This window comes from Homo sapiens, chromosome 1, assembly GCF_000001405.40.
Source record: "Homo sapiens chromosome 1, GRCh38.p14 Primary Assembly".
Taxonomy (NCBI): Eukaryota; Metazoa; Chordata; class Mammalia; order Primates; family Hominidae; genus Homo; species Homo sapiens.
The window spans coordinates 114,673,098-114,698,868 of NC_000001.11; the positions used below are offsets into that span (position 1 = coordinate 114,673,098).

The 25,771-nt window shown below is 40.9% G+C and overlaps 1 protein-coding gene and 1 pseudogene across 2 annotated transcripts; both read right to left on the bottom strand.

Annotated features, from left to right (window-relative positions):
- On the bottom strand, window positions 1–22,449 carry AMPD1 (adenosine monophosphate deaminase 1). Of its 2 annotated transcripts, NM_000036.3 has the most exons (16): window positions 22,353–22,449; window positions 20,339–20,350; window positions 15,464–15,644; window positions 13,648–13,813; window positions 11,102–11,267; window positions 7,162–7,381; window positions 6,482–6,611; window positions 5,236–5,430; window positions 4,813–4,944; window positions 4,254–4,417; window positions 2,780–2,906; window positions 2,433–2,596; window positions 1,655–1,775; window positions 812–985; window positions 542–652; window positions 1–175 (listed from the first exon to the last, which is right to left on the bottom strand). In NM_000036.3, the coding sequence occupies exons 1-16, from the start codon at window positions 22,372–22,374 to the stop codon at window positions 17–19; spliced, it is 2,244 nt and encodes a 747-aa protein (NP_000027.3). In that variant the 5' UTR covers window positions 22,375–22,449; the 3' UTR covers window positions 1–16. The 2 variants fall into 2 exon arrangements, with proteins under 2 accessions (NP_000027.3, NP_001166097.2); NM_001172626.2 differs by lacking the exon at window positions 20,339–20,350.
- RN7SL432P (RNA, 7SL, cytoplasmic 432, pseudogene) lies at window positions 24,530–24,827 on the bottom strand (annotated as a pseudogene).

A 25,771-nucleotide genomic window follows, 5' to 3' on the forward strand; every position in this document is an offset into this window, starting at 1 on the left:
TTTGGTTTACTTTTTTTTATTCTGTTGATTTAAGACCCTCAGCAATTAAATTGAGTTCATAACACCAGGTTTCATAGCGATAGGCCATGCGGATTTGGGCTACATTTGTCCTCCGGATATCATTTCCAGCAGGGCCTTCCTCAAGGTAATTGTCGCCCAGAAACTTTACTTTCTCCTATAAGAGAAAAGGATGGCAGAATGATTGTTGTCTCTTTTCACCCTGGTATAGACAATAATTGCATTCTTTACAAAAATTCCTTCCTTATGTTAGCCACTGACAAAAGAATAATAATAATAGACCATTAAAAGCACCCATCTAGTGCCTCAGTGTTCACAGTCTGCTGAGAAATCAAGTGTATTTTACTTCCCTGGCCCAAAAGGCACAGGCAAAGAGATAGAATAATCCCTTCTAGTCCCTGTCCATAGTAACTGCATATGATTCGTGGAACAATTTTTCTACATGTGTTTCCCAACTACTTTTTCGGTATTCAAGTTAGCAGACCCTATACTCAGAAGGGAAGCCATTTGAAGACAGGTCTACCTCATGAGAAATTCCACACTGCAAGACACTGTTCCTTGCCACTTCGCACATATCACAGGTGCTCAGCTTGAAGACTTGTGCAGCAATAGCATATTCTTCCATTAGGGGCTCCTGCAGTTATATTAAATGAGGAAAAAAGAGGAGTGAATTAATAAATAATATGCATCCTGCCTGAAAAAATAATGAAATACCTTTATTTGACTTTCAAATTCTGGACGGGAAACAACAGTCCAGCAAAATATGCTTGTATTGCCCAAGTCCATACTATACCTTGGTAAAGTGGAATTGCATTGGGTCATCTGTAGACAGTGAGATCATTAGCCCTTTCTGAAGGAAATCCAAAAAAGGATTTTTGGCATACTCTAGAAATAGGCTATTGTTACTTAGTGGTGACATGGCGATGGGAATTTGGGCTAAGAAAAACAAGTACTGTAGCACGGGACTCTGAAAAAGAAAAGTAAAAAAATATTTAAAGATGTTGAAAAAGGAATACAAACTAGAAACACTACAATCTCATGGTCTGCCTTAAGCTTCAGCTTTCAACAAAATTATCACTTGTTCTTCAAGTCTCTTAGTAAGGAGAATTTAGGAGTTTTTCAATGTAAATGCTATTTAGAATAAATGTACTTAGGATACATTAATTTTCAGAAACATTGAGTCAAACCAGATTGTTTATTTGATCTATAATGGCCTACGTTAGATGGTCTGTCTCAGGCAAAAGACTTTGCCTTGAAACATTATTTTTTCTCTCTCTCTCTACAAGAAAGTTCTGACTCTCACAAAAAAACATCTTGAAGCATGCTATAACAAGAAATCTGGCAAAAACTAGCTTAAGGAAAGCCAGGCCATCTCTGAATTATCCCTTGTCAGGATTCTAAGCTAGAAGTCAGGAGATCTGCGTTAACTTTTATCTGACAGCAACTAGCAAGGTAATCTTGAGCAAGTCCCTTTACTTCTTTCTGTAGAATGAACTGCACTAAACTAAAAAATCTTTTATGCTCTACTTGATTATGATTGCAGTGTCGATAATGACTTGTGACAGTATGGTTGGTTAAGGGAAAAAAGATTCCTCTAGCTCCAATGTAAAAGTTAAGAAGAGAGCTTCCAACTCACCTTTTTTAAATTTAGGCCATGAGAGATATCATCTGCTATCATGAATGCTGTCATGAGATGGGTGAGGGCTCCAGCTTCTCCACAGTGAGGTCGGAACAGAAACGTATTCATGCCTCGTTCCCTGGGGAAATAGAACTGCTATTGGAATCGCAGGTTCTGGGTATGGAGTGATTCACAAGAAAATTCAGTAGAAAAGTGAACACTCTGGAAGGAAGTAAGCCATCCAAAGGATTCAGCAAAACAGTCCCAAATCATAATCTTAATTCTTGCTAAATACAAAGTTTCCAAAAAGAGGCAGCAGAGGATATGGGGGTAAGGAAGCAAATAAAGTGTTGATTGCCTGGATGGAAATACGTTCAGTCTCAATAGGAAATTTACCAATATCAACATCTCATCATTTATTCTATTCTATTCAAATTTTAAGGGAGAAATGTTTCCAGAAAACTCCAGTATAATATTCCTCTACTTATTCCTTACCCAAATATATCAAGAAGGGCAAAATATATGAAGTTTTATCATTAATTGCACAATGATTAGTATAAATTCCTAAACTTCCCAAAAAAAAAGGAACTGTGAAAGTTATTGAAAGCATCGAAATACCGATTTCTGCCCCAAAATAAATAAACTGAAGAAAAAAGTTAAGAGAAAGAAATTTCTGATTTGGGCCAATTGGAACCATCACAGTAATGCATGAGGCCCCTGACCACCTTAATTGCCAATATATGTGGAAAGAGCTGTGTCAAATAGACCCTCCTAGCTCCAGCTGTCTCCTACTTACTTTCTCAGGCTGTTGAGCACCATGATGTTTGCATACATGTAGTAGGCATAGTAAGTGTAAGATGGATTCTTTTCCAATGTCCACTCCTGGGGCTTGGGACTCTTGGAGGAGAACATGTGGCCACTGTGTTTGGACTCATCATCCACACTGTCAAAGCCAGTGATCTGTTAGGAAAAGTGAGCCATGCAATGGGTTCAGTCCAACTTCAGGGTCCCAGTCCTCACACAAACTTTCAGGTCCAAAGGCACAGACCAAACATAAAGAGATAAGCACCAAGAATTAGTCATGACCAGGTAGGAAGGCTGGTTCATGAGCAGCAGTATGAAGGCCTGAAGGGTCATGCTTACATGCTTGAGGAAGACACTGAGTTCTGGGTCAGCCTGGGGGTTGATGGTGGCCTCAAACACTGGCATGAAAATATTCTCCAGCATTTTTCCAAAATGTGGAAGGAAATTCTTGGAACGGAACACATCACTAGAGGCAAGAATGAAGAGAATTTAGGAGAAAAAAAGATTTTTAGGACTGATAGCCCCAGTATGAGGGAACCAGAGAATCGAATGTCATGCACAGGAAAAGACGTGGTATATCTATCCTAGGTCCATGCTCCTCATACATTCTTTTTGGTCCCCTATAGAGAGGGATTCAGTTTGGGCAGCACATAGGAAATAAAAATTTTTTGGTGGACCCTATGTCCCCATCTTTTTTACAAACCTTTGTCATAAGAAAACTAAACCTTCACAGCTAAGTCCTCATAGAGGAATATGCAATTACGTCATAAAAGCTTCAATATATGTGTGTAACTACAAGACAGTGAACAGGAAATGATTACCAAGAATACCTCTGATCTGCAATTTAACAAACTCTGATATAGCATTTAATATATTCCAAGCACTCTTCTAAGTGACCAGAAATATTAGCTAATGTAATCCTCATAACAACTCAATAAGTTAGGTATTGTTTTTAACCTTGTTTTAGAGATGATGAAACTAAGGCACAATGGGGTGATATAACTTAACCCAAGGTAACACAGCTAAATGGTTGTGTTACCTTGATTTAAGTATTGCCAGGATTCAAGTATCACCACTCTGGGTCCAGAATCTATACTCCTAACCAACCTACTGCCTCTCTGCCTATTAGGAAGTATTATCCCAGTCAAAAAATTACTTTTTTTGGTTAAAGAGACAGGATGAAACTCTTGCATTGCAGTAGGTCACACAGAACACAAAGACAGGTAGCCAGAAAACATATAAACACCCAAGTTAGATAAAAGATCAATGATACTGAACAAACTGAAAGAGAAGCCATCCCTGAAGGCGATGAATGATAGCAGGTGGTATGAAAGGGAGATGATGTCCTCAGCAATACCATTGATAAATACTCATTGATTGTGGAGAACTTGAGCACTTGTAGGTGGGACAATTGACAGACAGTAGTAAAGGTTCTGATACAAGAAAGCCACATCCCAGTAGAGATGAGCATGGGAAGGAATGGACTTGACACAGAGAAGACCAGGTGAAAGAAAATGTATACCAAACTGTACATAGTTCTTATTCTATCTTAGTTTTAATCATTCTCAGTGAGTTATTTATGATCTTCATAAAGCTAGAGGACTGATCCGAAATGATCTTCTTAACTCCTGTCTGTGGTTAAGAGTGCTGTACCCAGAGTGGACAAAACCAAGCATGCAGGACCCGATAGTGAATGCTGTTTTAACAAAGCTGATTTATTTCTAGATGGGCAACACGTTCCTTGTTCATACAGGGGACTTGAAGCAGATGAGACAAGGGCAGGCTCTAGAGTTTCTGATGGGCAGGTACATACTAGATCCTGGGAACCTGGATCATCCATGTCATGTTGGGGCAGTGGATGCGATTGCAGACGAACCAGGAGGAGAGTTTGCTCCACTCATCAGGACTGCGGCCATAGATGGACAGGCGGGGCTCAGCATGCTGGTACTTGGCCTCCACCAGGTCCGCACCTACCTCCTGCAAAGCCAAGAGAGAAGTCCAAGCCAGGGATTCCCACAAGTTCCTCTGGGGTTCTAGGGAGAGGAGATTCCCTTTCTAACTCTTCCTTTCAGAATCTGAAAAGGCTAGGTCCTTAATCAATCTCAAAACCACACCCTTAATTTCTCTACCTTAGCAATAGAGGTCTTCAAAAATCATTAGAGTGGATGTGTCAGAGGAAATCCTTATATTCATTTGTGTAGTGTTTGGCCCCAGGGATCGCTCCCTCCCTCCCTCCCTTCCTTCCTTCTTTCCCTCTCTCCCTCCTTCCTTCCTTCCTTCCTTCCTTCCTTCCTTCCTTCCTTCCTTCCTTCCTTCTTCCCTTTCCTCAAGAACCATGCCAGATACCATAGATGTGATTGGTTCCGCCTCACCTTGATGATAGTGGCAAAATATTCCCCATTAATGTAATTGTCTGTCTTCAAGTAGAGGTCCCGTAGCTCACTTGCTCCTACAGGATTATATTTGTCATTGAACTTATCAAAACGCTGGAAGGTCTGGCGTCCCTGAATCAGGAAAAAAGAGCAGAGATGTATTATTACCAGAGCTGTCTGGACAGAGAGAGCTAGGAAATAGTCAAGCAGAACTGGGGTCTGGTAGTGGGGGAGGGCATTGGGCTCCAAGAATGGAATTTGGGACAGGTGACAATGAGCAAACTTCAAAATTGTCTGTGGTGCTTTCAGGCAGCGTGGTAAGCCAAGATGGTTAAGAGACCTCTGAGAAGGGAGGGCTTGTAGGAGAAAGACATGTGGGGTTCTGAGTATTAGAGTGAAACTGACATTGCCGTTTCAACCTACAGCATGAACATCCAGAGAATCAACAGTCAGGTCATAAGGATGCATTTTTAATTTAGCAAAAAGTTCCTTTAGGGTCAGATTCTTCTCTTTGGTGCTATAGACCACTCTGTCAGCATCAATTTGGTAAGATTTCTTAATAAAACGCAGCAGATGTTTCTGGTTCATGCAAGCGGCTGCATGGATATGGGTGTCCACCTGTATGTATATTCAAAGAAAGAAAAAAACATCAATCAGCCTTAGTTATGCTACTCTGTTTAGAGGATATGGTGCTGCAAATCCCACTGCGTTGGGACAAAGTGAATAATGAGGATGTGAGCTGACAGTTGGTGGAGGTGGTCCAGCAATAAAAAATCCATTACAACTGTGGCGTGCCCATGCAAGGATGTGAAAGGTTAGGCTAGAGGCAATAAGAATGCTTGCTTCTTCTGTATATCTGTACATCCAATTTATTTCCTACGTCTGATCCACACATTCTTCTGGACCATTCTTCACTCCTAAAACACAGCTGGAAGTGAAGTAACTACCATAACTTTCAGCCCCTAAGGAGAAAGGATTGAAATTATGAAGCCATGACACAGTGATGGCTTTTATGAGGTAGATATTCTTATAACTAAATTTTATACACTGAAATTTCAGCAGATTAAGTAATTAGTCCAAAGTTGTATAGGCAGCTGAGCCAGGATTTGGGCCTGAATCTCTGCTCATATATTTCCTATTCCCACTTCCTTGTAATCATTTTAATGGTCAGAATACATCTTGGAAGTGTGTCTAGTTTATTGGATTTCACAATCTCTAGGCTAGCTCATTTGATATTCACAATCCTCACGTGAACTGGATTGTGCAGGTGTAGTTCCCAATTTGACAAATGAAGACACTGAAATGAAAATATGTCATCCCTTCCTCCAAGGTCTTACAGTCAGGAATTCAAAGAAAAAGGACTAGAAGGAAGATCTTTCAAATTCTAGAATGGTCATTTTTGATGTTTTGTTGTTGTTGCTATTTTCGTTGTTGAGGATAACTATAATTTTTTGTGCCAAAAATGTGGCAAACCTTTCTATGGGGAAAACGATAGAAATGGCACTTAACCCTAACCCATTGGACATAATCTATTATCTGTTTTTACTAAAATCCACTGAACCTGTAGAAATCTTAGATTAATCAGAAACACACTCTTTTCTTGTGCTTCTCAATAAATAATTGAATTGTTTTTGCCCAGGAATTACCCCTGAGCAACTAAAATGTTTACCTTCCTGCAGTTATAAAAATCTCGGTGGGGGTTGTTTTTCAGCTCCTTTAACTCGTCCATCTCGTTAAGCATCTGATGGACCTGGAACTTGGAGGAGAGGAACTTCAGGCGCCGGTGGGTATAGGTCTTACTGTGAAAAATAAAATCACATAATTCCAAAAAGTTTCAGGCATTCAAGAAAAACAGTCACAATTTCAAAACTATCAGGACCTTTATCATTCATAGGAAATAATTGTTGGAACAAACCTTTTAGTTTACTCTGCAGTTAATCCCACTGAGAAGTAGTGGGCTCCAAAGGCTTAATCTTTTCAATAATGTTGGACATAAGAATGAGGGAGAACTTGGAAAGGTATCTTAAAACTCAATGGAGAGAGTGTTATTCAAAGTTTGGGGTCAGCAGATTCGAGTGTGAATCCTGGCTCAGCCAGCTGTGTCACTTTAGGCAAGTTACTTAAGTCATCAAAGTCTCAGCTCATAAAACTGGAATTATGAAAATAACCACCTCACAGTGAAAAGTGTAAGCAATAAAAGGAACAATGTGCATGAAGGGCTTAATACAGTGTTTGAACATAGTAAGCATTTAGTAAATACTTAGTCTCACTATCAGTAGAAGTAGTACTAGTTGTTGTTTAGGTCTTGTAGTACTAGTTGTTGTTGTTTAGGTCTCACTAAACACTTACACAGGTCCTTGAGCAATTAAAGCAAGTAAAAAATTCATATCGTCTAAGAAGGTGTCCAGATTTGGGTAAGGAAGTGGCTTAGGCTCATCTTTGCTGACTGCTGCTTCATTAGGATAGACGTAAACTACACCGTCCTTCATTTTGAGGTGATAGCCCAGGTTTTCAGGAAGGTTGTCTGTTCGGAAGGGGTCCTCTCCCTTCTTCACAGGAGGAGTAAAGACTTTTTCAATCAAACACAGAGTAATATATTAGCACATAGGATGAACGACCACATAAAAATAACCAAAATGTGAAATACTACAACATCTCATTAGCTTGGAATCCGGTACTTAAGTTGTAATTATCTGGAATTAAGCTAACCTTTATTTTTGCATTATTTTTTAAAGGTGACATAATAGTATAAAATAGCTATAAAAATAATATATTGGCCAGGCGCAGTGGCTCGTGCCTGTAATCCCAGCACTTTGGGAGGCCAAGGCAGGCAGATCACCTGAGGTCAGGAGTTTGAGACCAGCCTGACCAATATGGTGAAACCCCGTCTCTACTACAAATACACAAATTAGCCAGGCTGTGGCGGCGTGTGCCTGTTACCTCAGCTACTCAGGAGGCTGAGGCGAGAGAATCATTTGAATCCGGGAGGCATACGTTGCAGTGAGCTGAGATAGCACCACTGCACTCCAGCCTAGGCGACAGAGGGAGACCCTGTCTCAAAAAAAAGAAAAATAAAATAATATGTTGTCTAGTGTAAGAATGATTTTTCAAGTTCTTTGGAAGAACTATTTACATAAAGTAATCGATATACTACTTACAAACAATCTTCATTATTTACTGAAGTTTGTCATCAAAGGCTTTCTGTTTAGAGCATATTATTAGCTCTTAGATAATAACATAAGAATAAAAGTCAAACTACAGTTAAAAAAATAGAGTTTAGATCTTTACCTTATTTAAGCCAATCCTTTTTATTAGGCGTAATTTAGAGTGTTTTTTGAAATAAGCTTTTAAAGATCAGTCTTGGGTTCCCAGTAAAATAATTGAGTAGAAAATGCCGTTTCCAGGCTGGGCACAGTGACTCACGCCTGTAATCCCAGCATTTTGGGAGGCCAAGGTGGGTGGGTCATTTGAGGTCAGAAGTTCAAAATCAGCCTGACTAACATGGTGAAACCTCATCTCCACTAAAAATACGAAAATTAGTTGAGTGTGGTGGTGTGCGCCTGTAGTCCCAGCTACTCAGGAGGCTGAGGTAGGAGAGTCTCTTGAACCTAGGAGATGGAGGTTGCAGTGAGTGAGTTTGTGCCACTGCACTCCAGCCTGGGTGACAGAGTGAGACTCCATCTCAAAAAAAAAAAAAAAAAGAGAAAAAGAAAAAGAAAATGCAATTTCCCCACAGCCCGTTACCCACACAGGCACAGCCAGTCTCCACTCTAGACATCCTGCATCAGAGGGTCCATTTGTTATAATAGATGAATATACATTAACACCTTGTAATCACCCAAAGTCCATAGTGCACATTAGGGTTCACTCAAAGCCTATGGGTTTTGGCAAATGTATAATGACATGTATCCACCCTTATAGTATCATACAGAATAGTTTCACTCCCCTAAGAATCCTCTGTGCTCCACCTAAAGTGGTTTTAATGTAAAAAAGAGATATAAAATAAATTATTATTGTAAGAGTGATAATTCTTATGAGAATTATTTTTCCCACCTTTTAAAGCACATACAATTTCTGCTAAAGGAACTGAGAAGAGATTAAGTGGATGTGTTCCCTTCTTTCCACTGCTAGCGATTTCAGCCTAAGGAAGCCATGAACACATTTCGCACCGTCAGAGCCTTTAAGAATTCATCCTTTTGACTTTCAACAAGTATGGTCATTTATGCCTCTTCACTGCTGTGCCCGAGGAAGGCATCAGAAAGCCTCCTGTTTACAAGTGATGCCCACAGCAGCCAAAGTGAGAAAAATAGCATAGGGAAAAAAAACAGTCTGCACATTTCCTATTCAAAATTGGGAGATAAGGAACATAAGAGAAGTGAAACAGCGTGTTACTACAATATTTGTTACTACTATCAAATATTAATTTTGAAATCCTTATACTTAAGGATTAATAACTCACTATTAATGATATAATTATTATTGAAGCGTAACTTAGGAGAAATAAAGACAAGACAAACTAAATGTCTATATTATAGAGGATGGGAAAACCACTGTTATGTGTTACCAAACTGGAGACATGTTTAATATGATTTTAATATTAAAAGGAATTACAGACAGGGAGTTGTAGAACTGGAGATCTTTAATAATATTACAATTTGGAACTTCAAAAATCTTTTTTTTTTTTTTTGAGACGGAGTCTCCCTCTGTCGCCCAGGCTGGAGTGCAGTGGCGCGATCTCAGCTCACTGCAAGCTCCGCCTCCCGGGTTCACGCCATTCTCCTGCCTCAGCCTCCGGAGTAGCTGGGACTACAGGCGCCCGCCACCACGCCTGGCTAATTTTTTGTATTTTTAGTAGAGACGGGGTTTCACCGTGTTAGCCAAGATGGTCTCGATCTCCTGACCTCGTGATCCGCCCGCCTTGGCCTCCCAAAGTGCTGGGATTATAGGCGTGAGCCACCGCGCCTGGCCTCAAAAATCTTAAATATTTGCCTCCCCAGAAATTTTAGTTCTAGGAGTGTAATCCTAAAATTGTAAGACAATTACAGGAAGATGTGTATATAAAGATGCTTATTGTACCTTTTTTAGAAACAAGTTTTAAAAAGTCAGAAATTTAATTGCCTAAAAATAGGAATTAAGTCAATTATGTTCCAGTTATATAATAGAAATCTGTAAAATTATTAAAATCTGATTGTTGAAAAATACGTACTTAACTTTCTACAAGGCAGAAGGTAAAAACTGAGATAAGTAAATAAAGTGCTATGGAAAGTCAGAACATGTAGTTTACATCTATCCAGAAGGCAAGAAATGATAGTATTTGGGCTGCCTCTTGAAAGATTGGGTTGGCTCTGGAGACTTGGGCATGTGGTGAATAAGTGAGGGGAAGGACAGCCTGAGCACAGGGAAGCAGAGCAGCAATCCAGGAGCAGGAAGGTGTTGAACTATGTAGGGAACGAGAAATATTTCCAACCAGAACCAACAGTATAAAAATGGAGCAGAGAAAGTAAGTTCAGAAATAGGTTGAGTGTGCAAGTTCAAAAATAAACAGGCCGGGTGTGGTGCCTCATGCCTGTAACCCCAGAACTTTGGGAAGTTGAGGCAGGCAGATCGCTTGAGGCCAGGAGTTCAAGACCAGCCTGGCCAACACGGGAAAACCCCATCTCTACAAAAAAATACAAAAATTAGACAGGCATGGTGACACACACCAGCAATCCCAGCTACCCGGGAGGCTGAGGCAGGAGAATCGCTTGAACCCAGGAGGCAGATGTTGCAGTGAGCCGAGAGGGTGCCGCTGCACTCCAGCCTGGGCAACAGAATGAGAGCCTGTCTCAGAAAACAAACAAAATGTAGTTAGGGGGCCAGAGGGTGTGGGCCTCAAATGCCAGGCTAAAGACTGGACTTTGCTTTGTAGGTAGCAAGGAGCAGCTAAAGGTTCTTGTCAGGAGAAGGATGTGCTCAGATCTGTGTTTTAAAAATTAGCACCAAAGTAAAGATGAACCAAAAGAGAGGGAGACTGAAATTTTGCAGAGTAGTTACGAAGCTCTTGCAATAATCTGGGCAAGGAGAAGGATAAGCCTGAATGAGGGTTTAGGGAATGGTGAAGAGAAAAAGTTCAGAGAGATGTTGTGCAGACTGAATCAAGTGATTGGACACGTGAGGAAATGGGGCCAAAGATGATTATGACTATGATATTTTTAGACTGGATTACTTATAATCTAGAGGCATATTTTAAATTTAATATTTAGTAGTTTAAATAAAATATGTTTCATACATTATGTAAGAGAATTGTTACCTGGATAGAAGCTCTCATTTGCTACCCAAGCCTCACCATCAATGTTCCGCAAGTATTTGGAAGGGGTTTTAGGGAACCTCTGAAACGACTTCTGCATGTATTTCTCACGTATGCATAGTGCCCGATACAGACCTTTGCAAACAATTTCAAAATCTTCAACTGTAACCTGCCAAAAAAAAAAAAGTCAGCATATCAGAGTCAATCCCACGAAAAACTGAGAAGTGAGTAAAGCTTATCCTTGGCACCTCCCAGCTCTCCTGTGTATCGCAGCCCATTCTGAGACTCACCACTCACCTGGCTGCTTCTTAATTGACTTGGGACCTGGATCTCCCTCCCAGAGCAGGTCCTGAAGCTTTTCTAGCTTCTTTATTTCTACCAAACTTACCTGTCCTACTAGTCTTTCCCTTGTAGTCCTGTATTTGTTTGTTTCTGGTTTTTGTTACATAGCAGGGATTATCTAGCAAATAGGATTAAAAGAATCCATTCCAACATGGTATATACTTTCTTCCTTCTAAGTACGTGTGAACATTTTAAGTACAAGACAATACCTCAACTGAAAGACCATGTGACTCAAATTGTGAGAATTCAAACCACTCGGTCAGTGAGGGAAATATTTTGGGATGAATAAGGGGTCACAAATCTCTCAAACCCATGCACGGCTTTCTTCAGCTACGATGGATCACAACATCATTCTGTGAGAAGTTAGTCGTTTAGATGATTTTAAAGAGAATTTTATTTCTGGGTAAAACTTGAGAGATTCTAGAGGAAAGCTTTATTAGAGCTGCTGGAAATTTCCCCTGCCCCCATTCCCAACTCCTGGTTGGGCCAGGCATGCCCAAGTAGTTATAACTTGAAATCACTGAATGTTCATTATCAGAACCCAAAGACTTTTCCTGTGGGACTACCATATGCTTGTCCCCAGTAGTTTAAGGTCCAGATATTGATCCTGAATTAGTTTAACTATTTTAAAGACCTGCTGTCCTTGGCCAAAAGCGTCTGGCACAGATGCTAGGTCTGGGGGTCTGCTTCCCTGCTTCCAATGGCATGCGTAGCTCATTGCCACCTAATAGGCCACTAGTCTATCAGGTCCTCAAGAATGAGAGCTGGGTCTTATTCACCTTCATGTTCTCAGCACACAATGCCTAGCACAGAATAGATGCTCAATAAGACTGATTAAACTGAATCGAGTGTTTACCAGGAATTAATAATCTTGAGAACTGAGCCCTGATTTCCTCTTTGCCTCTCTGTTTAAATTACTAGGGTGAAGACTAATTTGGGTACAGACTACAACCAGGTAGAGCGTAGAGTGTTGCTCAGCAGCCCAGCCACATTCAGCCAACTGGTAGAGAAACATACTTCGTTTTTCCCAGTCTCCAGGTCAAGGTTTCAGGTGCCCTCCAGCTTTCACAGGAGGAGAAGTACTCCTTGACTTGTGTACATTTTGTTCGTCCTCCTAACTTCTTTGTTTTTATTCTTGTTTTCATTTCTATCAAGCATGCAGGTATGAAGTTTATCTCCAAATGTTTATGTTATTTTGAATTCTGGAGTTCTCCAAACTGTGTTTCCCCTGTACTCATCTCTATTAGGCATTTCCTTTTAGTTATTTAGTGTCTAAACCCCCTGCCATTTAGAGAGCACCCATGTTATACAGAAAATGAATAAACAAGAATGAGGTGCATTTAATTGCCTTGTCACTTTTAAGTATCTTAGGACTGACCCTAAGTGGGTCAGTTACATGAGAAGGGGACCCAGCACTGGTCATTAAAACTATATTTGGAGCATCGACGGACGGCTGCACAGCAGTTTCACCAATATGATGCTGATTCTGCAAGTCCATGTGGCAGAGATTTATTAATTGACCAACTGTTCTGGATGAGACAAGCAGGTCAAGTTGTTTGTGACATGACTTTACTATCCCTGTGGCATCCTAGAGTCTGTTCCAAGTAATGATCTACTGTGTAACCATCTGTAATGAAATTGGAGAGTTCAGGTCGTCAAAAAAACAATAGCCTCGTTAGGATTTTCTAACCTCTCTCTCATCTTCCTTCTTTTCTCTGGTTCCTTCTTTTTTCTCTTCCCTCTCTCTTTCTCTGGATCTGTTTTCTTTGGTTGGTTTATGCTATCTGCAACCCTTCTCACTATCCTAGGTCTGCTTGGGTCCTTCTTTTCCCCAGAGACTCCGTGCCTCCCCAGAGGCTCCCTTTTCTGATTTATGACAACATCAGTGAGACTTGACCACTCTACTGCTCTCTTTGGTCCTTTTTGCCAAAATCTGTCCATTGTATTCTGTAACATACACACTGCATTCTACTCCATATTCTCCATGTGCAAGCAAATGAGATAGAGGATAAATTATGTGGGATGATAAAAACAACAGAAACATAAGACATACCACCATATTAGTATTGAAATGCAATAATGAAGTGTAACAAAGGACAGGTGAGCTAATACCTCCCTCAACAGGAAAGAGAAGAAGGCAAGGAGCTAGAACTGTCAAGCTGAATGGCTTCCTGGTTGCTAAGTCTGAGTGGCAAGGACCAACTCACCCCAGAGGCATAGTCACCAGTAATCTGCACTCTCTGAAAATCAGGCACGGTCTGGTAGGTTGGAGATGAGGAAATGTATTCATCAATGTGGGACAGTTTGGTGGAAGATGTTTCACTTAGTGGAATGGACAAATTAACAGTCTTCCGTCCTTGGAAACGCTTTTTTCTGGGTTCGAAATTTAAAAGTAAGAGTTAATTTTGTCTTCATCAGGCGTTTCATTGTGATAGATAGATGTTTCTCTATACAATTTTATTCTGAGGACAAAAAGTAAAAATTAAAATGTGGTTGGGTATCAGAAACAGGATCCAAGCATAGTGGGAGGAGAAATCACTGAAGACACATGACCTTGTGCCCCTCTCCCTGGTCTACCTTGGAATGGCCTTAGCAATCCTACTAGAAGACCTTCACCATGACACCCTTCTTCCCAGGCAGTCCACTCCCAGCAGAATAGGCAGTCTAGGAACTACAGAAAACACAGGCTATGTCAGTTACTACCTGTATCATTTTATTCATGTTCCTTAAACATGGATAAAGGAGCTCCCATCTACCCATCTAAAACAAATGGTGCAAAAATGACTACCTTATAGGATTTCTATGAGATTTAATGTATATAAAATGCCTAGCACAGTACCTGGAACTTATAAGGTATTTAATATTATTTTCTCAAATCAACAAGTATTTGTTGAGTTTGACCCAAGTTTATTGCTTTGACCCAAGTCCTGTGTTAAGTCCTATGGGGGACACCAAAGGAGATGGATTGCTGTTCTTTCCTTAAAGATGTAAAATCAAGAGAAAGACAGCAGAATAGTCTTTTCCCCATGAAGCTGGTGGGATGGGGGGAGGACCTAAGGAGGGGGTTCCAGCAAAGTAGTTAGTATAGGTTTGAGGTTTGGGGACTAAAGTGTGGCTGGTAGTGAATCCTAGAGTGGTTCAAATAAAGGAAAATAGACTTGGTGGAGAGGGATTTTCAAAGACTGCTCGGGGGAGGCAGCAAGTATGCATCATAGACATGGGATGGGCAGGTCATGAGGGCAGAATTGGAGAGCAGTATTCCTAAGGCCAGGAGGTGGTCAGACTAACTGGAGGGCAGGATTCATGTCAGGGAGCATAACACTAAGGTTGGCTAGGGACAGAGTCTGAAGATGAAGGCTCTTGAGTCCCAGTTTATATTACCATTGTGTGTAAATTGAATATGTTCACAGCAGCCATTTGCCCACTTTGGTCTGAAATAATTCTATGGTATCTCGAAGTCCTCTTGCTTAGATGGGTAGGGAGGCTTCAATCAAGGGAGATATGGACGAGATAGGAGGCCCACTGCTTTCTTCTTTTTTCATCATTGGCCCCTCACTCTACTCACTCTAGCATATACAGTGTTGGGGGGAAAAGGAATTTTTTTTTTTGAGACAGACTCTCGCTCTGTCACGCAGGCTGGAGTGCAGTGGGGTGATCTTGGCTTACTGCAACCTCCACCTCCCAGGTTCAAGCGATTCTCCTGCCTCAACCTCCCAGGTAGCTGGGACTACAGGCATGCACCACAGTGCCTGGCTAATTTTTGTATTTTTAGTAGAGACAGGGTTTCACCGTGTTGACCAGGCTGGTCTCAAATTCCTGTCCTCAAGTGATCCACCCACCTCGGCCTCCCAGAGTGCTGGGATTACATTTGTGAGCCACTGTGCCCAGTCTTAGGAATTGCTAACTCTGGCAGAGTTCTTCCTCTGAGTTGAACCATCATTTGGATAAATTGAACCATATCTTCCCTGGCAGATACCCCTCCTTAGGTGCCAATATACTAAGCACTCCCCTTACACCACTTACCTCCTGGCTTCTGTGGAGGTGGACAGAGTCTCCAGATGGAATATGTGTGCTTGCATCTCATGATGAGAAATCGGACAGATCTCATCCACATCAAAGGGGGAAATCTCCTGACGACCTCCTTCATCTTTGACTTCAGAGGCAAACACTTTTTCAGCAAAGTTGCGCATTGCATCATCAATTTCTAAAAGAGGTTTTCACATATTAGTGTTCAAGCCCCTTTTCAAAAGTCAGCTGAGAGTTTCTGCTATGTGTAAGGCATGGGACAAGGACTGTGCTGCGTGCATGGCTCTCCTGCTTTCCAACCAGGGTCCAACACAGAGCTCAGTGCCTGCTCTCCTTTTAGTGGGTTTCTGTGTGGGTACCTTGAAAATATGCTCTCAGAAACATGGGTCAGATTCTCATAGCACATTTCAGAACAGTCCTAAAGATGGTCCTAAAGATGAGACCGGGCTGTTGTAGGACTAGCACCTCAGTAAGATCACCTGTTTCTGGCAAGGCTAAGTTTGATTTCATAGTTTGAACCATGCAGCACAGTTCTTCCCATTAGGTTGGTGGAGTTTTTCTGATGGTGTTAAATATGTGGATAGGGTTATTGGTCCTTGGAGTTTTTCTTGCTAAGGAGAACCAGTGATTCCGGTGATCTAAGTAGTTCTGAGAAATAAATGTGTACTGTAGGGCCTTTCTTCTACTTAAGACAGATACTGTGTTTCTCTCACACATCAAACCTTGTTTTTTCAAATCCAGACAACTTGGTGATATGCTGCTGTATGCAGGGAGGGGACCACTAACATTTACTACCAAGTGCTGGAAGTCCCATTTCTTGTGGACATAGGCCTCAATAATGAATGAACCTTGGAAGGCCAATTTTACTTGTACATACCCTAATTTTCCCATTCTTAAAATGGGGGGAAATGATGCTTCTTAGTTTGGCAATGAATAACCCCAAGACCCTCAGGATATAAGAAAACCAGTGTCTCTGGGCACACTGGCTCATCCCTGTGATCCCAGCGCTTTGGGAGGGTGAGGAGAGTGGATCCCTTGATGGCAGGAGTTCGAGACCAGCCTGGCCAACATGGCGAAACCCTGTCTCTACTAAAAATATGAAAATTAGTTGTGCATGGTAGTGCATGCCTGTAATCCCAGCTACTCAGGAGGCTGAGGCAAGAGAATCATTTGAACCCGGGAGGCAGAGGTTGCAGTGAGTTGAGACTGCACCACTGCCCTCCAGCCTGGGTGACAGAGCAAAACTCTATCTCAAAAAAGAAAAGAAAACCAGTGTCATCATATAGGATGGTGATGGCCATCAAGTATCTGCCTTTCTGTTAAGTTCCACTGTGTTCTCCAGATCCTCAGTGTTTTCTGTCTGAATAATTATTACCTCTAATACTTTTCCTGGTATTTCCAGAAAAGAGCTGGTAGCAATAATGACAATGGCAAATAGCTAGCTATTTGGAGCAACAGTAGAAGACAGAAACATTCCCCACAGGATGACAGAGCAAACTGTATGTAGAGAGAAAGATGCCCCCAGCTATTAATGTCTATACAGACCTGCAAAAGTCCATATTTTCTATTCTAAATTAAGTAGATGTCATGTGTTCAAGCTCCCTGCTCTGCACTTAACACCTCCTACATCTTCCTCTATTTCCATTTCTTAATCTGTAAAGTGGGAATACTAATACCTACCCAACCTCGCTGGCAAGGCTGTTGTGACACTAAGTGAGATAATGTATGTGGAAATGCCTTAAGACAAATAAAGCACCAGATTAAATTGAATGATGTAATGTGTAGCATTGGTCAAACAGACATTTGGTGTGTGGGGTTAGCTTTGGACTATGAATGAGATAATACATGATATGACTTAGTACATGATGAAATGTACATTGGAGATGACAGGAATTGATTCATAACTTCCCCAACAATAACAGTCAGGTCAGCCAGTTTTTAAAACCTGGTTTGTTACAGCAAAGTTAACAGAGAAGCCCACTATGTTGGCCAAACTTCATGCATCTATTTGCCTTGTTAAACTCAAACAACTGAAACCGAAAAGCATCTTTGGATGCTATAAGTAGTTCTTTGGCAAACATCATGATCCATGAAGGAACAAATGGAACACCAAGTAAATGCATTCGATGGCCTGATAATGCCTCCACACCCTACTGCCAACTGATCCCCAGAAATAATGTCACTACTTCCTAAGCATCACGAGCAAGCACATGCATCTCAAGGGAGAGTGGCAAGCAGAAGTTGGAAGAGGCTGCATGTACCATGAAGGGCAAATGGAAACAGGACAGTTGGTTATAAAGATGAGAATGAGGATGATGATGAAACTGGTCAGTCATGCTGGGTCTGCAGCAATAATGCTGGAGGCCTCAGGAAGGACAGTATGGAAATGGATGCCCAGAAACCAAATCCTACTTGCTTGGTATCTGGCTCTTCCAGAACAAGCATTCATTGTCTGGGACTGCACATTTCTATTTGTTTCCTATTTTAAAACAGTATTGTTTTTACTAAGATTGTATCTCTCTAAGCCACTGTAGACAGTTGAAAATTAGAAACTCTACTCTTAAGAAGCAGCTTACATGATGACCAGAAATTATATGGTTGATATTTCCTTCCACTGAAGCAACCACTTGTTTTGACTTCATGTAACCACAGCTGAAATTTGACTCTTAATTCAAGAGTTCTGCCTTTCAAAAATACCTCGGGGAGTGGGCCTGGCATGGTGACTCACACCTGTAATCCCAGCACTTTGAGAGGCTGAGGTGGGAGGATTGCTTGAGGCCAGGAGTTCAAGACTTTGGAGCCTGGGCAACATAGTGAGAACCTCACCTCCACAAAATTTTTTTTTTTTTCAAAAATTAGCCAAGCATGGTGGCATACGCATGTAGTCCCAGCTACTCAGGAGACTGAGGTGGGAGGATCGTTTGAGCCCAGAAGGTTGAGGCTGCAGTAAGCCACGTTTGCACCATTGCACTCCAGCATGGGCGACAGAGTACAAACAAACAAACAAAACAAATTTCAGGGAATGGTGGTGATTATAGAAAGGAAAGAGTGAAACTTATATTTCAAAAGATAAGTAGATAGGCTGGGTGCGATTTCTCATGCCTCTAATCCCAGAACTTTGGGAGGCTGAGGTGGGCGGATCACCTGAGGTCAGAAGTTTGAGACCAGCCTGGCCAACATGGTGAAACCACGTCTCTACTAAAAATACCAAATTAGCTGGGTGTGGTGGCACGTGCCTGTAATCCCAGCTACTCCAGAGGCTGAGGCAGGAGAATTGCTTGAACTCGGGAGGTGGAGCTTGCAATGAGCCGAGATTATGCTACTGCACTCCAGCCTGGGCGACAGAGCAAGACTCCGTCTCAAAAATAAAAATAAAAATTAAAATTAAAAAAAGAAAATGTGTGTATTAACAGCTGGATGGCCTTGGGCAAACCACATAATAACTGGGAGCCACAGTGTTCATCATCATAAAGGGGAATGTTAATAATAATAACGTCAACTTCAGAGAATTGTTATGAAGATTTAACAAAAAATACTTTAAAACTATGCAGTACTGTCCAGAAGTTGGAGATTACTATTATTAACACAGGAAGTGCAAGACTCTTGAGAAGATGAATATCATGCTTTCTTCTTAACAGGTCCAGAAAAACATGCTTGTTTCTCAGCAGTGCTTTATTAATGTGTAGGAAAGACAAGGTTGTAGGCCTTCGTCTGCCACATTTCATCTCCCAAAGGAATTCAGAGGCAGACCTACTATCAGTCAGCAAAAGGACAAGTCTAATTTGAGATTGAGGGGAATATACAACCAAAGTTATAGTTTTATCTCAAATAGGTTTTTAAGGCTGGGCACGGTGGCTCACGCCTGTAATCATAGCACTTTGGGAGGCTGAGGTGGGTGGATCACTTGAGGTCAGGAGTTCGAGACCAACCTGGCCAATGGTGAAACCTCGTCTCTACTAAAAATACAAAAATTAGTCAGATGGGTGGTGGGCACCTGTAAACTCAGCTACTCAGGAGGCTGAGGCAGGAGAATCACTTGAACCCAGGAGGCAGAGGTTGCAGTGAGCTATCGCACCACTGCACTCCAGCCTGGGCAACACAGCAAGACTCCATCTCAAAAAATAAATAAATAAACAAACAAATAAATAAAATAGGTTTTTATTTTATCTGGTCACAAAAATGAACAACAATTTTTTTTTTTTTTTTTGCGCTGGAGTTGCTTTACTAAGGCAAGATTCAATAGGCCCCTTTGGCTAATCTATGTCATTTATTTCAAAATATTAAACAGGCTGGGTGTGGTGGCCCACACCTGTAATCCCAGCACTTTGTGAGGCTGAAGCGGGCAGATCACTTGAGGTCAGGAGTTCGAGACCAGCCTGGCCAACATGGTGAAACCCTGTCTCTACTAAAAATTAACCAGGTGTGGTGGTGTGCACCTGTCATCTCAGCTACTCGGGAGGCTGAGGCAAGATAATTAGTTGAATCCGGGAGGCAAAGGTTGCGATGAGCAGAGCTCACACCTCTGCACTCCATCCTGGGTGACCATCCATCTCAAAATAAATAAATAAATAAATAAATAAATAAATAAATAAATAAATAAATAAGTAAAAGCACTGCATGAGGTTTTCTTTTAAAAAATTATATATAATTATATATATATATATGTTTATACACACACTAGAATCCAGAAAAGCCATGAGCTTATTTGCTATGCTATGGGATATCTATGGTCATTATGAATCTTTGTTGACTTTCAAGGCTATTATTTAATAAACACTGCTGAAAAATAGCCATGTTTCTGAATTAAGGAATAGTATCATTTTTTTAAATTGATACTCTGACAAATGGCAGCAAAAGTAATGCAATACTCACGTTTCTCTTCAGCTGTATGAAGTAAAATAAAACAAGATAAAATATGTGAACAACTTTCTGTAATCATGGTGGCTATTAATCACTGCTTTGGGGTAGACACATGTAGATTGCTGTTATTTCAGCTCAGCCTTCCAGCTTGTCTACAGTTTTCTGCCATCAGAAAGCTTGGGAATATGGTCATTATACAGCTCTTCATTTTCTTTTCTTTTCTAATATGTCTCTTAACATTTATAAGTATACTTTTTAAAAGGCACTCTCTATAAAATATGATTTTTAAAAATATCTGATGAAGAAAGATGGGAATGCTCATATGATGTTGGTAGTAGTAAACTTAAAACAGCTCATTTGGTAAACAATTTAGTAACACCTACCAAACAACCATTTCTGAGAAGCTATCCTACGGAAATCATCCTTAAACATGGAAAAAGCTTTAGGTGTCAATATTGTTATCAGAACATACTTATACTTAAAAAAACCATAAAGAGGCCGGGTGCAGTGGCTCACGCCTATAATCCTGGTACTATGGGAGGCCGAGGCTGGCAGATCATGAGGTCAGGAGATCGAGACCATCCTGGCTAATACAGATATTCACTGTGTTATATGTGAAACACCGTCTCTACTAAAAATATAAAAATTAGCCGGGCGTGGTGGCAGGCGCCTGTAGTCCCAACTACTCGGGAGACTGAGGCAGAATGGCATGAACCCGGGAGGTGGAGCTTGCAGTGAGCCAAGATCGCACCACTGCACTCCAGCCTGGGTGACAGAGCGAGACTCTGTCTCTAAAAAAACAAAAACAAAAACAAAAACGAACAAACAAAAAAAAACCCCCAAACCATAAAGAACCTAAGGGATTAATTAAGAAAATAGAATATGCAGTCTTTTAAAATGGTTTTTAGGAAAGGTTTGGGATACCATGGTAAAAGGATAAGTTGTAAAGTTAAGCCAAAACATTATCCTGCCAAAAGCAGGATATAAAATTACATGTGCAATATAATAACAGTGCCTTTTTAAAAAAAACTCTTTAATTTTACACAGAAAATAGATTGAAAAGAAAAAAAAACACTAAAATGTTAAGAGTGAATATCTTTGGATAATGGATGTGCAGATTTTTAAAATTATTACTTTTGGCTGGGTGCAGTGGCTAACACTTGTAATCCCAGCACTTTGGGAGGCTGAGGCAGGCAGATTGCTTGAGCTCAGGAGTTTAAGATGAGCCTGGGCAACATAGCGAAACCCTGTCTCTACAGAAAATACAAAAACTAGCTGGGCGTGGTGGCAAGTGCCTGTAGTCCCAGCTACTCGGGAGGCTGAGGTGGGAGGATCACCAGATCCCAGAAGATTGGGGCTGCAGTGAATCGTGATCGTGCCACTGCACTCCAGCCTGGGCAACAGAGTGACACCCTGTCTCAAAAAATAAATAAATAAGTAAAAAATAAAATTATTACTTTTACTGAATTTCCCAACTTTCAAAACGAATGTTTATTACTTTTATTTTTTCAGCACAATTTCTATTTCACATGAAACATGTATTGCTTTTATCATTTAAAAATTATAACATTATTATTTTAAAAATTACTCTGCGTACAAACCTGGACAACAGAAAGCTATTCTCGTGAACCATCAGAATACACACATGGGTTATTTTTGTCATGTTCATGATTTTCAGCCAATACCATAGCTAGAGTCATTATGTAGAAGCCGTCTCAGAGCTATGGCAGCACAGGTTTTGTTTAGACTAGCAGAATAGATATTAAATATTTCACAGAGTTTTCTACTGGGATCATCAAAGATGCAATATACATGATAACAGTTTTAGAAACTTACCCACATCCCAAAACTAAAAACAAACAAAAAACCCTTGAAAATATTTTGTGTTTTCCTGAAATGTATGTTAAAGCTATCACGAACCCTAAATGAATGATCAAAGCTGATATGGTAGCTAAAGGAACAGTTGCTTGTCAAAAAAAAAAAAAAACAACAACAACTGAGCTCTCCAAACACTTTGTACACCTACCTGGGAGTTTGAACAGAGGCATTGTTGCTGAAATCCTTGATTCTAGGATAGCACAGTAGAAAAGAAGAGAGAGGAGACTGTGGGGTGACTGACTGACACTATAAAATATCCTGACATTCATTTTATTATTTTGCTTTGCCCCCGGAAATTTGATTCTTCTCTGCTAAGTGGAGAGAGATGAGCTTTGGACCTATTTATAGCTTGAGGCATTTGATAGTGAAAAACAGGTGAAGCTTTCAGTCTTTACTTTGGGATTAGAAGATATCTGTGGTGGGCCAAAAATTGCATTTCAATACTCTCTAAATCTTCTTACAGACTGGATCTTTGGCAAGTGTAGGACCACTGATGGTGATATCCCACCCTAGTGAAATACAGTGAAGTCTTTCCGGTTTCTGAAGCTATGATCCTCAGGGTTTCACATCACGCAAACAGCTTTCTGTGGTTGGTGAATATGCTGGTACATTCATCAAGCTCTCAACAGACACACACGCACACGCACACACGCTCAGGAATGCATGTTTTTATTAGTAATGTGTCTGACTTAGCAGAACTTCAGTTGACAGTTTAATGAATTAAGTGTTAAATTTACTTCAAGTCTTTTACAGAAACTCAACTGTCCTCCAGAGTATCCAGTTACCACTTCTCTACCTATTGTTATAATAAGAACAATAGCTTTGTTTTGTATAACATTTTATTGTATGTAAAACATTTGGCAAACATTATCTATTTGATACTAATTACAATCCTGTAAGGCAAGTAATACCTTATCCCTGTTTCCCAAATAAGAAAACTGGGGCTCTGACAGGTATCTTGCTCAAAGTCATTCTGTTCATCATAAATGGCAAAGCCAAGGCTCTCTGGACCCAAATCTCACGCTCTTTCCATAATAACACACAGTCTTAGTTATGACTGTATATATGTGTGTGTATATATATGTATATATGTATATATATGTGTATATACATATATTTTTTTCGAGACAGAGTCTCGCTCTGTTGCCCGGGCTGGAGTGCAGTGGCGCGATCTCGGCTCACTGCAAGCTCTGCCTCCCGGGTTCACGCCATTCTCTTGCCTGAGCCTCCCGAGTAGCTGGGACTACAGGCGCCTGCCACCATGCCCGGCTAATATTTTTTGTATTTTTAGTAGAGATGTGGTTTCACTGTGTTAGCCAGGATGGTCTTGATCTCCTGACCTCATGATCCACCTGCCTTGGCCTCCCAAAGTGCTGGGATTACAGGCGTGAGCCACTGCGCCCGGCCAGTTATGACTAAATATTTGATAGTTGCTGCTAGGTAAAGAAAGTACGCTGCTAGACTCAGCAGAAATTTTAAATTATAACAGCTTATATTGAAGATGAGCTTGGCACTTCAGATTAGCAACAGAATTATGGGCATAGACCAAATGATCTTTTTACTATTAACTATTTCTTTTTGAAAATTGGGACAAGCCTTTTTGTTGGCAAAACTTAACAATATTTTAGTGCTTAGCCTTATGGCCAACCTCTCAATCAACAATATTGCAACACATTACAAAGGTGTTACTGAACCAAAATATTTGTTCATTTCTTTCCAACTCCTTTTTGTTACATTTTTACCTGGATTTCCCAACAGTATCCACAAATTGATACATCCAAACCAAGCATCTTCCTCCATGAACCTGCTTCTCCTTCAGTAATTCCTATCTTTATATAAGTTACACTCCAATTTTCTCATTCCAATTGTGTAAATACCCTAGTTGCCTACCCAAAGATCATTTTCCCTACCTTTCTTACAAACAAAAACTTCTTTGGTTTGAGCATTAATGTGCTCAGCCAAAAAACAGCATTTGCTAGAATCCTTTGTGGCTAGAAGCGGCCATTTGACACAGCCTGGCCAAAGTGATGTAAGCAGAATTGCTGGGTGGGATGTCTCCAAAAGTTCTTTTAAAAGGGACCAGCTCAGCTGGCATATGTTTTGCCTTTTGCCCTTCCTCTTCTTCCTGCCTGAAAAAGGAAATATGTGGATAGGGGCCTCCAAACCAACCATTGTTTTAACACAAATGGTGAGCAGGACAAGAGCCACATGAAGACTATCTGAACAGAAACAAATAATTAGGGTCCCTGATGGCATCCTAAAGCCACCATATTAGTCCAGGACTTCCCATATTTAGAATTCTTGTTTAATTAAGGAATTTTTTTAAGAGACAGGGTCTCACTATGTTGCTCAGGCCAGGGTGTAGTGGTTATTGACAGGAGTGATCCTACTACTAAAATCAGCACAGGAGTTTTGACCTGCTCTGTTTCAGACCTGGGCTAGTTCACTCCTTAGGCAACTTGGTGGTCCCCCGCTCCTGGAGGGTCACCCTGTTGATGTTGAAATTAGTGTGGACACTTGATCAGCATAGATTGCTATAGCCCAGAACTCCTGGACTCAAGTGATCCTCCTACCCAAGCCTCCTGAGTAGCTGGGAGTACAAACATGCATCACCATACCCAGCAAGACTTCTTGATACATAAGAAAAATGGTTGGGCGCAGTGGCTCATGCCTGTAATCCCAGCACTTTGGGAGGCCGAGGCAGGCAGATCACGAGGTCAAGAGATCGAGATCATCCTGGCCAACATGGTGAAACCCCGTCTCTACTAAAAATACAAAAATTAGCTGGGTGTGGTGGTGCATGCTTGTAGTCCCAGCTACTCGGGAGGCTGAGGCAGGAGAATCACTTGAACTCGGGAGGTGGAGGTTGCAATGAGCTGAGATCACACCACTGCACTCCAGCCTGGTGACAAAGCAAGACTCCATCTCAAAAAAAAAAAAAAAAAAAAAGGGAAAAGTAAATTTGTTTTAGTCACTGATTAGTCAGTTTTTTTTATTATTAGAAGCCAATGTAATTCTACCTGATAAGTCATGAGTTACCTCAAAGTTGGATAATTGTAATAGATTCCTAATTATTTCCCCTGCCTCCAATCCATATTGCATAATACCACCAGGTTAAATCTTCTGAAAAACCACTTGATCATTATATTCTCAGTTCGGAAACATTCAGTGACTCTTTTTTTTTGAGATGGAGTCCTGCTCTGTCACCCAGTCTGGAGTGCAGTGGGGTGATCTTGGCTCACTGCAACCTCTGTCTCCTGGGTTCAAGCGATTTTCCTGCCTCAGCCTCCTGAGTAGCTGGAATTACAGGTGCACGCCACCACGCCTGGCTAATTTTTGTATTTTTAGTAGAGACAGGGTTTCACCATGTTGGCCAGGCTTGTCTCGAACTCCTGACCTCAAGTGATCTGCCCACCTCGGCTTCCCGAAGTGCTAGGATTATAGGCATGAGCCACCGTGCCTTTATTTTTATGACTTTCTTAAGAAAGTTTTTATGTAAGTAATCAAAAATGTAGTTCAAGAATGTTTATTGTAGCTAAACATTTATAATAGTCAAAAGGTAGGAAA